The sequence below is a fragment of the Homo sapiens genome, chromosome 22 (assembly GCF_000001405.40).
Source record: "Homo sapiens chromosome 22, GRCh38.p14 Primary Assembly".
NCBI classification, from domain to species: domain Eukaryota; kingdom Metazoa; phylum Chordata; class Mammalia; order Primates; family Hominidae; genus Homo; species Homo sapiens.
In genome coordinates, this window is record NC_000022.11 from 34,756,277 (window position 1) to 34,771,744 (window position 15,468).

The 15,468-nt window shown below is 42.3% G+C and overlaps 2 long non-coding RNA genes across 2 annotated transcripts in view, besides 1 other annotated feature; one reads left to right on the top strand and one right to left on the bottom strand.

Annotated features, from left to right (window-relative positions):
* Positions 1-388: 388 nt before the first annotated feature.
* The window catches only part of LINC02885 (long intergenic non-protein coding RNA 2885), a 241,252-nt gene continuing 226,172 nt past the window's right edge, over positions 389-15,468 (bottom strand). The window contains exons 4-5 of the long non-coding RNA NR_138042.1: positions 4,079-4,211; positions 389-2,785 (exon numbers count right to left, since the gene is read on the bottom strand). This is a non-coding gene — a long non-coding RNA (long intergenic non-protein coding RNA 2885). The remainder of the gene's footprint in view (positions 2,786-4,078; positions 4,212-15,468) is intronic.
* LOC105373014 (uncharacterized) lies at positions 1,184-12,587 on the top strand. Its single transcript, XR_938204.3, has 3 exons — positions 1,184-7,921; positions 8,340-8,424; positions 11,209-12,587. It is a non-coding gene; the product is annotated as an uncharacterized LOC105373014 (long non-coding RNA).
* Positions 3,964-5,163: an enhancer, noted in NCBI's record as "CDK7 strongly-dependent group 2 enhancer chr22:35156231-35157430 (GRCh37/hg19 assembly coordinates)". NCBI's record gives its function as "activates an origin of replication core promoter dependent on BRD2, BRD4, P300/CBP, MED14 and CDK7 cofactors, with strong dependence on CDK7, by STARR-seq in HCT116 cells {active_cell/tissue: HCT116}" and the evidence as "EXISTENCE:reporter gene assay evidence [ECO:0000049][PMID:35650434]".

The window sequence follows — 15,468 nt, forward strand, 5'->3', positions numbered from 1 at the left end:
GTGGCACTGAGGACGTAAAGATGCAATGCAAGGTGAGGTTGAAAATGTAGATCAGAATTAAGTTGTTGAGAAACTTGATCACCTTATACATGTATTTTTGACTTTAATGTGAAACCCATGGGGAATTATTGAAGAATTTAGAGAAGAGAAAATGTTGTCATCAGTCTGGTGTCTGTACGAAAAGATAAGATAGATTGGAGCAAAGACTAGAAGGAGGGAGATTGGGTAGATGTACTCAGGTTTCGTAATTGGGAGGAAGAAAGAGAATATAATTCCACTCAACATGGTTTGAGCCCACCTGTGTAACAATCCAGAGGCATGGAAGGATTAAATGCCCTTGTCAATACCAGAGATTTGACGTTGAGAAACTGACACAAACACTAAAAACTGTAGAGAGCAGAGATGATAATTTTATTGAATTTTGCCCCCAAGACTCACAATGCAATACAGATTCATATTCAGTAAACACTTATTGGGAATCTACACTATCAGGAATGCTTTTTAACCACAAGTAATGGAATACACAAATAATAGTGGCTTAAAGACATTAGTTATATCACATGACAAAAAGGCTAGAGATCATTGTTTTTGTGTTAACTTGTTGCATTGCTATCATATAACTGCTTTCACTTCAAGCACTGTGCAGAGCCTCCCAGAGGACCTCCGTGTGTGCTCCTTTGGTTCTTCCTAGGTTCCATAGCCAGCCTTAGCTGCAAGGGAAGCTGGAGAGTGAGCATTTAGCATTTCTAGCCTATAGAGTAAAAGGAAGCCAGGGAGGAAAGAATTGGGAATAAAGGTTGGATCAGCCACCCAGCAGTGAATACCACACCTTCTAATCTGCCAAGCACTTTCACAACCAACATTGCTGCATAACATTCTTAGCCATGAAGTAAATATCATCTCCAAAATTATCAACACAGAAACATAGGCATGGAAGGATTAAGTGGCCTTCTCAGTATTGCATAGCTAGTAGCAGAGATTTGAAGTTGAGAGACTGACAAACACTCCTCAACTAACTGTATACTTCAGAAAAACTGTGCCCACATGAAGAAAGGTGAAGAGTTAGTCAAAGGACTATAAAAACCCAGAAAATAAATGTAACATTTGAGCTAGGCTTTGAGTGAGTTTTTACATGCAAAGAGTCAAGAAACAGCATTCATGGTACATGAAACAGAAGGAACTATGACCCAGAGTCACACAAACATTAGAGACACGTTGTTAGGGAAGGACAAGGAGTCCACCAGTTGGAGAAGCCAGGACATCTTCCAAGAAATGGACTGAAACCACAGCAGTAACTCTCACCCCAGGTATCTGTCTCGAGGCCACCCTCCCTCAGATGCAAACAGAGGCCACACTGGCCCCCAAATCCACTGCTCTGAGAAAGTGGAACTGGTGCCCACCAGGCTGAGGTCATGACTGAGGTCTTCACATACAAGCCATTTGTAGAGAATTTGTAAATATCCACCAAATAGTGATTTGCAGAATATAAATTTGCAGAATATAATAGGGTGTGTTGGAAGCACCAATAAATAAATATTGGGGCTGTAAAAAGTTTAGTCTGAGAAAAAGGGAAGCAGTTACTTTACTGCAGTGTAACTTTGGTAAAAGCAAAAGAAAAATCTGAAGAAACAAAATCCAATTTGGTGAATCTGACCACATAAGCAATATGAGAGTAAACCAGTCTAGGTTAACTCCCAAGCTTACCACTTCCTAGCTTTGTTACCCTGGGCACATGTGAACAAAAGTTCTCTAAAAAGGAATTTTGAGGAAAGAGACTTTATTCCAGAGAAGTGATTGCAAACTTGGAAGATGCAACCTTCAATGTAAAGGAAAGGTGCCATCCAGAGAACAAAGGGAGAGTTTTGCTTTTATAGAGAAAATTCACACCCAGGTTCCCAATCAGGTTCATTTATGCAAATGAAGCATTCAAACTTGCTTAGTTCTAATTGGTTGATATAGTTGATCCCTGATTGGCCAAGGCAGGTGAGCTCTGATTGGTTAGTTCCCAAATTAGACATTTGGGAGTTCTGAAGGTCCCAACCTTAAACCCGAGGAATGAGTTTTCTGGGAACTAAAAGATATGTGTGACCTCTAATTAGCAAATGACTGCTTGACTATTTTAAATTTAGGCTCAGTTAGGCTCTTGGGATTCATTTTGAAGAACTGGCTCTTTCAGGTTCACATTTGGAAATATTTCATATTTCTTCTCCAATCTGAGCCCCATGACCTATAGCAGCTTAGTATTATGCAAAGCCCACTGATTTTTTAATCAGATGGCCAAGCCCAGGCTGTCTGACAATAGCAAGTCACATGGACTTACTGAGCATTAATTTCCTCATCTGTACTTGAAAATCAAATCTGAGTGAAATTTACCTTGGTGTTCACAGATCCTAGCACCGGGAAAATGCCCAAGAAATGCAAGTTACCATTATTAGCAGTATTCCTAGTGTCACTCTGATTAATATAAACAATGAGAGCAATAATACCTACTTCACAGTGCTGTTGAATAGACTAATTACTAATGAATAAAATCATTTAACCAGCCTTGTAATGTGAAGTACATAAACAAATACTTGGTTCATTTGCTTCTTTCTCACCAGCTTTTTCTTGGCTGAAAACAAACTTTCCATTTAAAATCAAAATTTCAGTAATGATAACAAGATCTCTTCTCCATGGTTTTCTGTTGGCTGAGTCTGTGTGGTTCATTGATATACCCAGAGGTGATGTCAGCTCAGAATTCGAAAGGGCAGAATGATGGGTGGTCCCAGGTGGAAGTCTTGATAAGCTGATAAGATAGGAAGAGAATGAAGATAGATAGGAAATTAAAAATATTGGCAAGAGAGAGATCAAAGCGAAGGGTCGTGGGGGTTAGGCTTGAAAAGGAGAGAAAGGCAAGATGAGGTTGATGGATAGGAAGAAAGTGGAAGGTCAAAGATTAGAGGGCTCCGAGAAAAGAATGTGAATGAGAACGGAAATGACTGGAGGTTGTGGTTGGGAAGTGAGGTGTTAAAATTTTAAATTTCTGCTTCAGGAAACAGCAGGGCCATAATGGTGGATGGCTGACACTGGGTGAGGAAAGGATCCCCAGAGACTAGGAAGCAGAGGGTGTGAGAGATCAGCATGCTGATGACTTGTTGGGATCATGGAAGGACGTGGAGAAGGAGGTTCAAGGTGTTGAATGACGTGACAGCAGGCTGGCTGAGGATGCACATTCTGCAGAGATGTCTGCTTAAACCATAGCCCTCTGGGAACAGTGTCCCTTCTTCAGTACAGGCAATTTCCAATGAGTAGCTAGACTGTCACCTTCTCCCAGTTCTGTGTCCTGTTTTGGACTGATACTTGTCTTCCTTAACATGGATAGCTGTCACCATAATTAGGGTTGGAGGCTGTGGTTCCCAGTCAATCAGGATCCTGCCATTGACGATTTTGCTAGTGCTTTCCTAGGCTTGCAGCCTTTGCACCCACCTTAAATTCCTATCCACAAACCTGGTCAATATCCCCAAGAGGAAAATACTTTGTCCTACATACATTCCCCATGCCCAAATGTGCAGTCACCCTTACTCCTTTCATATCTGAACATTGCTTCCTGAAGGTTTCATGTGCAGAGACTCCTTCACACACAATCTAGAATAAAATGTAACCAATTTCCTCCTCCATGATAGATGTGATGTACTTAATACTCACTAATTGTTAAGGTATTTAATGGCTACAATCTATGATGAAGGTGGAGATGCTTTAAAGTAATTTATGGAATTTATGCCTGTTAATTAAATAAGCATTTCACATGTGCATTGGTGAGTCTTTATACATTTTTTAAAAAATGAACATATGAATTTGTGAGACATCAGATCTGTCTATTCTGCAGACAACTGTAGACCTCTAAACAATAAACCCATAGCCACGGAGAAGTGTCTGACCCACAGGTTGGGAACTGCAGGTTTAAGATGTTTGGTCTTCACAACTCTAGAGAGATTTTTTAAATGAGGAAACCGATACCCAGGCATAATAAGAAAAACAGATCAACCACAGTAGGGACTTAAGCATCAGGCAAGTGTGTATTCAAACCCGGTCCTCATACCTACATGGCTTGAGAATTCTTCCTTTTCTTCTACCTGCTGAACCCTGAGCTCCGCTGGTAAAGTGAAGCTAACCTCTGTTGCTTTACTTCTGACTTCTTCTGTGCCCATATGCTCTTCCGGTACAGGTCTGGCCTGGAGTATACAGGGGTGATTTGTCATTTTACAAAACAAATACAGTTCGGTTGAGAAGAGAGCCAAGTGAAAAATAATCCCAAGGCTAGAAAGCTACAGTGGAAGTTTGGAGCAAAAGAAAAAAACACAAACCAACCCCCCAAAAACATAAAAGCTCAGGATGATTTATTTCATAATTTAAAAATCAAAATTGCCTTCAGGCAGGAAGGCTTGTTTGCCCAGTTTTACCCTAGAGTGAGTCATAATAGCTAAGTTACATACCCTTGGAAAAACCAGGGTTTTTCCAGTGGGAGCACTGAGATGTCATTAAGCCCAGCACTGTGTGTGGCGGTGCCAGAATCAAATGTCCTTTGAAATTGAGACCAGCCAAGAGAAAGCCCCAGGGCCAGTGCTGCGTTTCTCCAGAACATGTCATGTCCCCGCCGTCTCATCTAGGAGGTGGCAGGGAAAGAATTGTGGGGAGCAAACAATCACTCTAGCTGCAGGGATAGGGCAGAGCTAGGTGGGCAGTGGGACATAGACAAAGGAAAATATTAATCACAAGGACTAGATTGAATTCCATCTGCAGTAAGGACATAGTCTGGACACAGCCACCAATAAGTCCAGACCTGTATCAGTTATCTAGTGCCCCAATATTTCAGCATAACAAATAACCCCCAAACTTCAGAGGCATGCAACAATAAGCGTTGATTTTCATTCACAAGTCTGTGAGCCAGGCTTCGGCTAATCTCAGCTGGCCTTGCTGTTGTATCTGTGGTCATCTAGTGCATCAGTTGGGGAACAGCTGGTCTGGAATGCTTTCACTCACATGTCTGGCATCTGCCTGGCTATCAATGAAGCAATGGAGGTATGTGGCTCATGTGTCCACCGTCACCCAGGAGACTAGCCTGGGCTTGTTCACGTGGTGGTGGCAAAGTTCCAAGAAAGAATGGAAGCACAAAAGGCTAAGTCACAACGCCAACCCAGATTCGAGAGATGAGAAAGTGGATTCTAACTCTTGACCAAAGGAGATGCAAAGTCCAATGGCCAAGGCCACAGATACAGAGAGAGGTGGAGAATTGGGGACCTTTTAACAATTTTCTACAAGAACAGTGCCGCTGGTGATGTTGCAGAAGAGAGCTTAGACTTCATCTATGAAGCCACAGAGCATGGTGTGGAAATCTGCAGTTAGAAGATGGATTTTGTCGGACAGTATAGGGACAAAATAGTCCAAGCTCTCCAACATAAAATGGACTGTCTTAGGAGATGATACTTTTACATGATTATAACTACTAATGTTGAATGTTTATTACAGGAGTCAATGTTCTGGGTGGCTCACAGGAATTAATCATGGCAGTAACACCATGAGCAGGGTCACTGTGAACTGTTATGCAGGCATGTTCTGCGGAAAGGGTCCACTTGGCTGAGAGGCATGCTTCTTGCCGAATCATGAGTGCAGGTGTGGAGCTGTGTCCACTTGGAGGAAGGAAGACCTTTTGCTAATGCATATCCAGGTGATGTATTAACTGGCAGCAGCCCAGCCTGCTTATGAGGTTGGTAATAGTGTATTCTGACTTTCATTTTAGAGTTAAACAACATGAGACCTAAGAGAGTTTAGGTAAATCACTCAGAAATATTCAGGTTTTGAGCAGAAGAGAGATTTGAACTCAGGCAGTCTGCCTTCAGCTCAGGCTTTTGACCATAAAACTATCCTGCCTGGCTTGATCCTTACAACAACCTACTAGAAAGGGAAGCCATTTCTGTTTCACAGATGGGAGATTTAAGGCTCCAAAAGTCAAGGAACTTGCTAAAAAATTAAGAGATTCAGGTATTGAATGGCAGTAGGATTTTTTCCCATACCTGTCTAATTCCAAAGCCTATTTGCTTTTAACTGTAAACTATCTCTTCTCCATCAGTAGTCTAAGAAGTTCTCTATCACTGAAAGCATGCAAGAAGAGGCTATATGTCACGATTGCTAGGAGAGATTAATGCATCAGCTGAGAACTGTAATTTAGTGTCCCTTTACCTTGAAAATTCTATAAATAGGACTGGCCACGAAAGCTTTCTGGGTTGCTCCATCCTTGCTCCGCTTGATTCCTCATGTTCAGAAGTAAGATCAAGACAAGAAGTTCCCTTCCATGGAAACAAATATCCAAAGCTGAGAAAGGCACGGAGATGTAGACAGGACATTTGCTTTACCTTTTATTACTTACCTGCTCTGGGCTAGGGCATTCAGGGGCCCTCAGAGTCTCACTGGGTTCCTATTAACTGCCTGTTGCGTACAATGGGCTTTGGAAAACACCCTTCCTTCTGGGAAATCTTCCCAAACCTGCAAAAACTATTTTGCTGACCTCCCAATGGAATTATATAGAAGATAATTTAAAATAAAATGTCTAACTCTGTGTGTCAGACTCACCAGTGTAGCCCTGGAAGGTTTATGAGGACAGAGGGGAAAGAGGCTGGGCTACAAAGACCAGAATATTCTGGAGGCATCGACACACCCTGGTTTCCTTTCCTGCCTCTATCACTCTCTGGTTCTGATTCCAACTCTCCTTAACTCTGATGTAGAGCCTGGGATTCCTTTGGAATCGAGTACTCATGCTCACCCACCCACACTAATGGGATGTGCTTCTTTAACCCTCCAGATTTCAAAGGCACTGTCACTACCAGAAAAATCCTGCCTCTGCCCCCAAAATTCTGTCCCAACACAACTTAGCAGTTGATGCGGTACAACGCAGGCTGGTCAACCAATGGCACCAATGGTACTGTTCATCCCAGAAGGACACTGAGTTTGAGACCCAGCTCTACAATTGATCGATTAGTAGCATGACCTTGGGCAAGTGGCCTGAAACTAAGCCTCAGTTTCCTCATCAGTAACAAAGAAAAATATTATCTCCTGGGGTTATATTAAGAATTCAATGACCAACATCAAAGACTACAGAATTTCAGTTAGACAGAAGAAATGCATTTTTGAGATCAATTGCACAGCATGATGACTGCAGTCCCCAGTCTGACCACCTCTCACCACCTCCACAGCTCCAAGCTAACCTAGTCACTGTCATCTTACCTGGAGTATATAATATAACAGCCTCTTCCCTGGTCTCTCTGCCCCAACCTGTGGAGGAATTTGAGAGTGAAGCTCTCCCCTTGTAAGGAAGAGCATGTCTATGTCTCTATACAGTTCCCCATTTCACCCAGAATCAAAGCCACAGCCTGGAAGTGGTGCAGAGAGCCTCACAGGCTGTGCCCACCCCCATTTCCTCTTAATCTCCTCTCTTACTCTCTCCTTCACTCACTCTACTCTAGCCACAGGGAGCTCCTTGCTGCGTCTCAAAACACACCAGGCACACTCCATCCAAGCTCCTTTGTGAGAGCTTTCCCTCTGCTTCAATTTCCCCAGATATCACTGTGGTTCATTCTGCCCCCTTCACATTTTTCATCTTATGCCATCAGCTGCAAGGTGTCGTCCTACCACCCTATTCACAACTGCAACCCTCTCTCACTCTCAGCACTCCAATTTCTACAACCCTGTCCTTTTATTGATTTCCCATTTTCATTAGCATTTATCACATTCAAGCATATTATCTAACTTAATCTAATCTAACTTATTTATCATGTTTATTATTTATTGTCTCTCTCTCCGTTAGGATATAAGCTGCTACAGGGCAGGGCTTTTTGTCTATCCTGTTCCCTGATGGATCCCAAGTGCCTGATCCAGTGCCTTGCACAGAGTAAGCACACCACAAATATATGTTGAAGGAATCAACAGATTAATAGTAGCCATTAGTATGATCATGTTAAGAGCCTCTTAAGACCAAGAATCATGTCTTATTCCTGTCTATATGCCCAACCCTTACTATAGGGCCTGGCCCTGCTGAGATGCTCAGCAAAGGTTTACTGAATGAATGAAACCAAGAAGCCTCCCTTCCTGGAGACAGGGAGAGGCTGAGCACTAAGCTCATATTGGCTTGCCTGAAGGACAACCCTGCATGTCACATCCAGAGAGCAAAATTGTCTCTGACATGTAATTTAAAACCTGAGATGCCTGGATATAAAGTCTTACTCAAGTAAATGGGATCAAACATCAGGGCATTTCCACTCTACCAAATAGATATTCTGGATTTAATATGATCTCTCCTTCCTTCTCAGGTCTCTCAGGCTGCCCTCACCCCTGGGGGAAGTGGGGGATGAATTTGGCAGAGCTGGCCTCAGGAGGTGGATGGCCTTGCTTCAGGTAATCCCAAGTCCCATCTGAGTCTCAATTTTCTGATCAGTGAGAGGCCATCACCTCCTTAATTTCCATTCTGAGCCTCCTCCATCTATCCCAGACCTGGAAGAACCTACAACCTTCTTATGACACTCTCAATTCTGCAGAATGTGGATTTCATCTTAGGTCACATGGCTCCCAGAATCCTCAGATCAGTTTATCACAGTTAATTGTGTCCATGGAGAAGTGGGAAGAATAATGGCTTCAGTTTTAATCCCCAATCCTCTAATTACTCACTGTGTGACCTTAGCAAGTTTTTTAACCTCTGCAAGACTCAGTTTTCCCATCTGTAAAATGTGCATAATAAAACTTGCCATTTATTTTTGTTGTGGAATCTATATGAAATATAAATGCTCTTTCCCTACCAGAACCTGACTTCTCTAGGACAGAGATTTGTCATTCTTTCACTCATTCATTCACTGAGCACTATGTTTATTGAGACTCATACAAGGTCTCAAAAGGATAATTATTAAGGTACAGTCCCTGCTGTACAAGAGCCTAGAGACCTGTGTAATAAATCATTACTAGCTAGTGTGATAAATATTAAAATGAAACTATGAGCACACACCATGAGAACTCAGAGGAGGGAGTAATTATACTTAGGAGGAATGAGGAAGGCATCAGACAGAATATGATGTGTAAACAATTTTGAATAGCAGTTTTCCAGGCAGACAAGGGGGTCAGGAGGAAGGATATTCAAGGCAGAGAGAACTGTGTGAATGAAGCCACGGCGCACTATGTTACTCACCATTGAAATTGTGACTCTCCAGCCTCCACCTTAAAATGCAACACCTGGAGGTTCTAAGTAAATATATGTTCAATAGACAAATCTTTACTAAGGACATCACATAGTCATCATGGACTGTTCCTGGCATTTACAAAGCCCAGTTTTCATTCACACCCAACTTGTTAGTAGTGGGGCCGGGGAGGGGGGTGGGGAAGTGCACTCAAATTTTCTCATCACTGATTTCTTACATTTATGAAATCACTGATAAGACTTAGGAGGATAGTGAGTGGATACTGAGAGACTGCATTTACAGAGGAAATGGGCTCTCTGCCCTCTTTTCTAATTAGCTTCACTGGGAAGATATTGTTATTTTCTTTATCCACACACTTGGCCTCAAAACTCTTCCAGTTTAATGCTAACTTTACTGATAAGCCTAACCTGGAAAAGTATATCTTATTACTCAAAGGCAAATGATGAACAGAAGTGTGATCTAGCTTCTGAGGGAAGGAGATGGGAAGTGACATGTCCTGAGCATTTATACATCACAAAGACCTCCAACATAAATTCTCAGAGCCCCATTTTATAGAGGGAGAAATTGAGGTTTGGAGGATTAATGTTTCTTGCTAGTAAGTGGCAGAGCTGGGACTCCAAGTTGGGATGTAAAAAGAGCAGGTCTATTTTTCTTGTGTTTATGGACTGAATGTTTGTGGTCCCAAAAATTTATGTTGAAGCCGTAACTTCACTGTGAGGCTTCTAAGAGGTGTGGCCTTTGGGAATAGGGTCAAATGAGGCCATAAGCGTGGAAGCCCTATGATTGATAGGATTAGTGCCTAAGAAGAGGAAAAGGCTAGAGCTGTGTCTTTCTCCACCACAAGAGGACACAGCAAGAAGGTGCCCATCTGCAAGCTAGGAAGAGAGCCCTCACCAGGAACCAAATGGGCTTCCCAGTCTCTAGAACTGGGAGAAATAAATGGCTGTTGTTGAAGCCACACAGTTTATGGGTATTTTCTTACAGCAGCTTCAGCCAACTGACACTTGTCCTCGCAGAACATATATGCCTGCAGCCCCTGACCAAAAGCACCTATCTCACCCTGTTCCTATACCAATCGCTCTTCAATTTTCCTGGAAATAATAGAATATTGGGTCTTTTTATCTATTTCTTGTGCTTTCTCAGTCTTGGTAACTGAGCTACTGAATCTTCTTGACTCCCAAGTAGTTCCAGGGAAGGTGACAAGTCTATAAAACGTCTGTGCATGTCAGAAATAAAGACATCACCCTCTACTCTACTAGGAAGCCAAGAAATGACCTGGCCAGGGATGAGAATCATCAGGGTCAGATCTGAACAGGCAGTGGTCACAGGAGTTACCAGGGCATACCTAACCAGAAACACCAAGGACACCTAAAAGCAAAGCTGAAAATGTATGGAGAAAGTAGCCATGCAAAACAACCTTCTGGCCATCCTTGTGTCTGTGTGTATGTGTATGTGTGTGTGTGTGTGTGTGTGTGTGTGTGTGTGTGAAAGCTAGGAGATGGGAAATGGGAGATGGAGAGAAAGAGTAACATACAGTGGGATGAAATAGATTATAGAGATAAACTTGAAGAGGGAGAGTATACAGGAAATTAGTGTTTCCAAGAGAAACCTCAAAGGGTTCTTTCTTCTGTGGACACTTTTAATACCCTCATATGCCACATCCATTTATTCCATTCAGACTCTCTAAAGTATCTTTAGTTTTGATTAACTGAACTGTTTCCTTTACTACCTATCAGGAAATTATTCAAACCTAAGTTAGAGACTTAAAGGTGTTCTATTGTATAAGGCATGATTTTTTTAATAACCCATCACTAAATACAATAATAGTCTAAGAAACACAGTTTGCAAGGTCAAGTAAGTCATCTCTGGTATTAAAAATGTTCTTTTTATGCACATAAACTAAATACTAGGTTGATGATAAATGATGTGGTATGTGGCTTGCCAGTGTTGGGGTTGGCGAATCACAAATTAAAGCTTATTTATTATTTTCTAGAGGCTCTCTGTCAAAACTCTTTCTACTGCTCAATCATCTTCCTGGGAAAAAATATCAGATGGCAGGATCGAGAGGGAGCAGTGTTGCCTGGACAGTGTGGGAAGTAAATGGCACAGTATGGGATTAAAGAAGGATATTTGGTAAGTCCTGAACTTGTGTCCCACAATCAGTTTTCCTCAGACAGGACAATAAGACACTGCAGGCCTCAGAAGGATCAAAGTAAATCAGCCATGCCTAGCATATACTGAAACCATATCTGCAAGTTCTGAAGATCATGGAACACACAGAATGTTTGTTGAATTCATATCAAGATGAATGAAAATAAGCGTGGAAAAGAAACTAAGAAGTGATTATTCTGTTGTTTTCCAAGCTGGGCAAACCACATGTGTAGCAAGGCTGGCATTTGTCCTGAATCACTATGTTTCCAGGACCACAGACACCCAGGAGTATAGTCAGAAGTAGGTACGTGGATCTCAAAACAATGTTATAAGAAAGCTTGAAGGAATGGAGAACATTTAGCCCAGGAGAGCATCCATGGGACATGACTATTATTTTCAGAAAATGGAAGGCTCTTGATGTAGGGCAGGGAATCACAATTGTTTTGTATGGCCTCAAGGAGCACTGGAGCCATGCATGTGAATTGCATTTTAGCTTAGAATTTAAACTTCGGAAAACATTCTAATAATAGAGCTTTTAAATATAGAATAGGCAGACTCAGTAGGAAGTCAGCCATCTACAAGTAAAGGTCTTCAGCATGTGCTCTATCAGGTGACAGATTCAAAAGTTAGTCTGGATTACCTTTAAAGGAAAAAATTATTTGATTCTATGAAAGGGGGGAGAAAAGTCACTATATTAGTTGGAGTAAGGGCTCCATAACAGAGACTCAACAATTCAATCACATAAAGGGCCAGGAAATTGATGACTCTCTCCCAGAACACTGCAAGGCAGGTAGGCAGCCTCTGCTTCATAAAACCATCATGGGAACCAGGCTGGGGTGGGAGAACCTCAATGTGAGGCTTCTGAGGCAAACCCGGTTGTCAACCATATCCAGTCAGTGGGAGGAAACAGGCGAAGTCCAGGACTGGATACTGCTTATTAACCATGGAATACAGAAGTTGCACGCATTACTTCTACTCCTGTTCCATTGGTGTATCTGGTCTCCTGACTACATTTCACTGCAAGGGATGCTGGGAAGTGTACTCTGAGCCAAGCAGCCAGGAAGAAAAAAAATGAATTGAGAATCCCATGGCAGACTTGTGATGGACATCCCAATTATCCTGATTTGATCATTACACGTTGCATGTAGGTATCCGAATATCACATATACCCCAAAAATATGTACAACTATTATATATAAATAAAAAAAATTTTAAACAGCACACTTGGCTACAGTCATCTATCAAACTATCTGTCAATTGTTTATACATCTATTACTATATTAATAATAAACACCAATGTGTTATATTAATATTAATAAATTACTACAGTTAAAAACACTGCTTTAAAGCCATTCTGCCTGGTTATGACACCTAACTCCACCATTTAGTAACTGACCATGAGCAAGTTAACCTCTGTATGCTTCCATTTCTGTATCTGTTACATGGTGATAACAAAGATACTTATCTAAAAATATTTTTATGACGTTCAAATGAAGTAATGCAACTAATGTGCTTAGAACAGTGCCTGAAATATAAAAGGAGCTCAGTAAGTATTATGATTTATTAATTACTATGTGAATATAGAAAGAAAGAAGTACTTTCTTCAGGGTATACCTGCAGATACAGAACTCCCATTGACCTACGTGATCAGAAGGTGAGGTATTTTCATGGTAAGTAACTGAAAGGGATGATTTAGGCCTTTTTCACCCTCAAAGTGGCCCCACTCACATCCTCTGGTCCTAATTTACCAGCTAAACAGAGACACTTGCTTTATCACATTTCTCTTCCATCCACCTTCCCAAGTGCTTTGGAAGAAAGGCAGACTAGAAAAACTGCAATGTGCCATCCCTGGCTGTTCTATAATGTAATTAGAATCTAAGCAAATGAATGCACCCCATTTGCTGGATGGGCTCCAAACAGCCCTTGGAAGAAGGATAAACACATCATCACAAGAACAAACACTGAACCACAAATAAATAAAAATATCACCCCTGCCTCGGTGCCAGCTTGCATTAGCAAATGGGTAATCGGGGTTTTCAAATGGAAATATACTTTTGCCATCTCATTTGGATTGTCATGATAAATTCTACATGACACCCGAGGCTGCTTTACAAGAGACCTGAGAAGGCCTCCTCTTATTAATGGGGCTTATGATCCCCTCTGAGAGGTTAAGTTTGCTTGAAAATTCAACCCATTAAATTAGCAAGAACCCTGGATGCCTGGGTTGGTATAGGGCCTATGGGGAGTTGTAGAGTTGGCCATATGGGAAGATTCATGCTGCTGGGAGCTCGGATACCTTTGGCAGGGGAGAGGGTTAAGACTGAGAACTAACAATGAGGGAGGCAAGATCTAATTATTTTGAGCACCTCCCTGTGCTAAGCACTTTAAATGGAACTGCATTTAATCCTCACAACAACCCCACAAAGACAGTATTTTAACTCCAATTTTATGGATAAGTACACTGAGGTTCAGCAAGTTTAAGTGATTTGCCCAAGCACATAGCTAGACAGGAGGTAGAACCAAAAATCAGATTCACCCCTGCATTTCTCCTAATCCTGGGGGTTGTTTTTAATTGTTTTTTCATAATGCTGATGTAAAACTGGGGCCAAGTCCTGAAAAAGTTCATGATCAGTGAAGTCGACCTGAAATGCTGAGAGCAGGTAGCAGTTACATGAGTAGTACAGCTTGTAAGAGTCACACAGGCTATAAGAAGAAATACTGCCTGCAAGGTCACACAGCTTGTCAGTGACAAAGGCAGGACTGTCACCAAAATGTATGAGATGTCAAAGCATGTGCCTGATGGTTTATTACAGAGGTAAGACTCTGGCTGAGCCTTGAGGGACATGCAATGTTTGGAATGGAGGAGAAGAGGAGGTGAGAGAGGTGGATGGGTGGGCGACCAAAACAATCACAAAGTGAGTGAGAGTTTCTTTTCCTTATTTGGCCACCAACCCTCATTTCTTCCTCCTTCAATTACCTTTCACCAGCTGTGTTTCTCCTGCACTTGGCTCCCATGCTTTTGCCTAGGCTAATGCTTCCTCCTGGAATGCCTACCCAACTCAATCCCACCCGCTTGTCAAGGTCAGCCTAGCGTCTACTATCTGCTTGGAGCCTTTGTATTGTTCACCCATTCATTGAACAAGTATCAATTTAGCCCCTAGAATGTGCCAGGTCCCCTTCCAGGTACTGGGGATTCAGCAGAAAATGATATTAAATTCCTGCCTTCATGGAGCTCACATTCTAGTTGGAAGAAACAAAAAATAAACAAATATACAAATAAACATCCATCATATGTCAAATAGTGAAATGTGCTAGAAAGAATAAGCAGTGTATGGCGACAGAGCATAACAGAGATAGAACAGCACTCCTGTAGACAGAGAGGTGAAGGGAGACTTCTTTGATGAGAGGGTTGATATTTGCATAGAGACTTGAACGAAACAAAGGAGGGATGCACACAGACACTAGGGATGCAAATCCTGCTGGGTGTGCTCAAGAAACAGCAGAGAAGGGGCACACCTGGGGCAAGGTGAACAGGAGGAAGAGTGGGAAGAGACGGTGGCAGAGGGAACAGAAGCCTCACTATCCCTGACCAGAATATACCACTCTTTGCCCTCCACATTCTCGCCATGACCCCCAGGACATTTGTTTTTACATCTCCCATTCTGCCTCAAGTCGCACTCTGGTCAATTGTGAACATATCAGTCCCGCAGTAGACTGTAGCCCAGTGAAGCTAAGGGCCTTGTTCTCATCAGCACTGTAGCCCTTGCACCCAGCACTGAATGCCCTCGTAGCTCAGACTAGCAACAGTCAGTGTGGAAAAGAGCACAGCACAACCCAGTGGGGATGGGGAGGAAGACGTCTAGGAAGGAGCAGAGCATGGAGTCAGCCCCCTTGGCATCCTGTGGTCTAATACACCTTATCTGCAGGAGCTCAACAACTTAGGCCAATGGGTCTGATCCCTTGCATGTGTGATACTCAGAGCCAGTGAGTATGCCATGCCTATATGACAGTCATCAGCAAAGATACCAGTGGCAGGGCCAGGGTCACCCATGGACTGTTAAGATGTAGTAAAAGAGTTGGGAGGCTGAGATTCATGATAGAG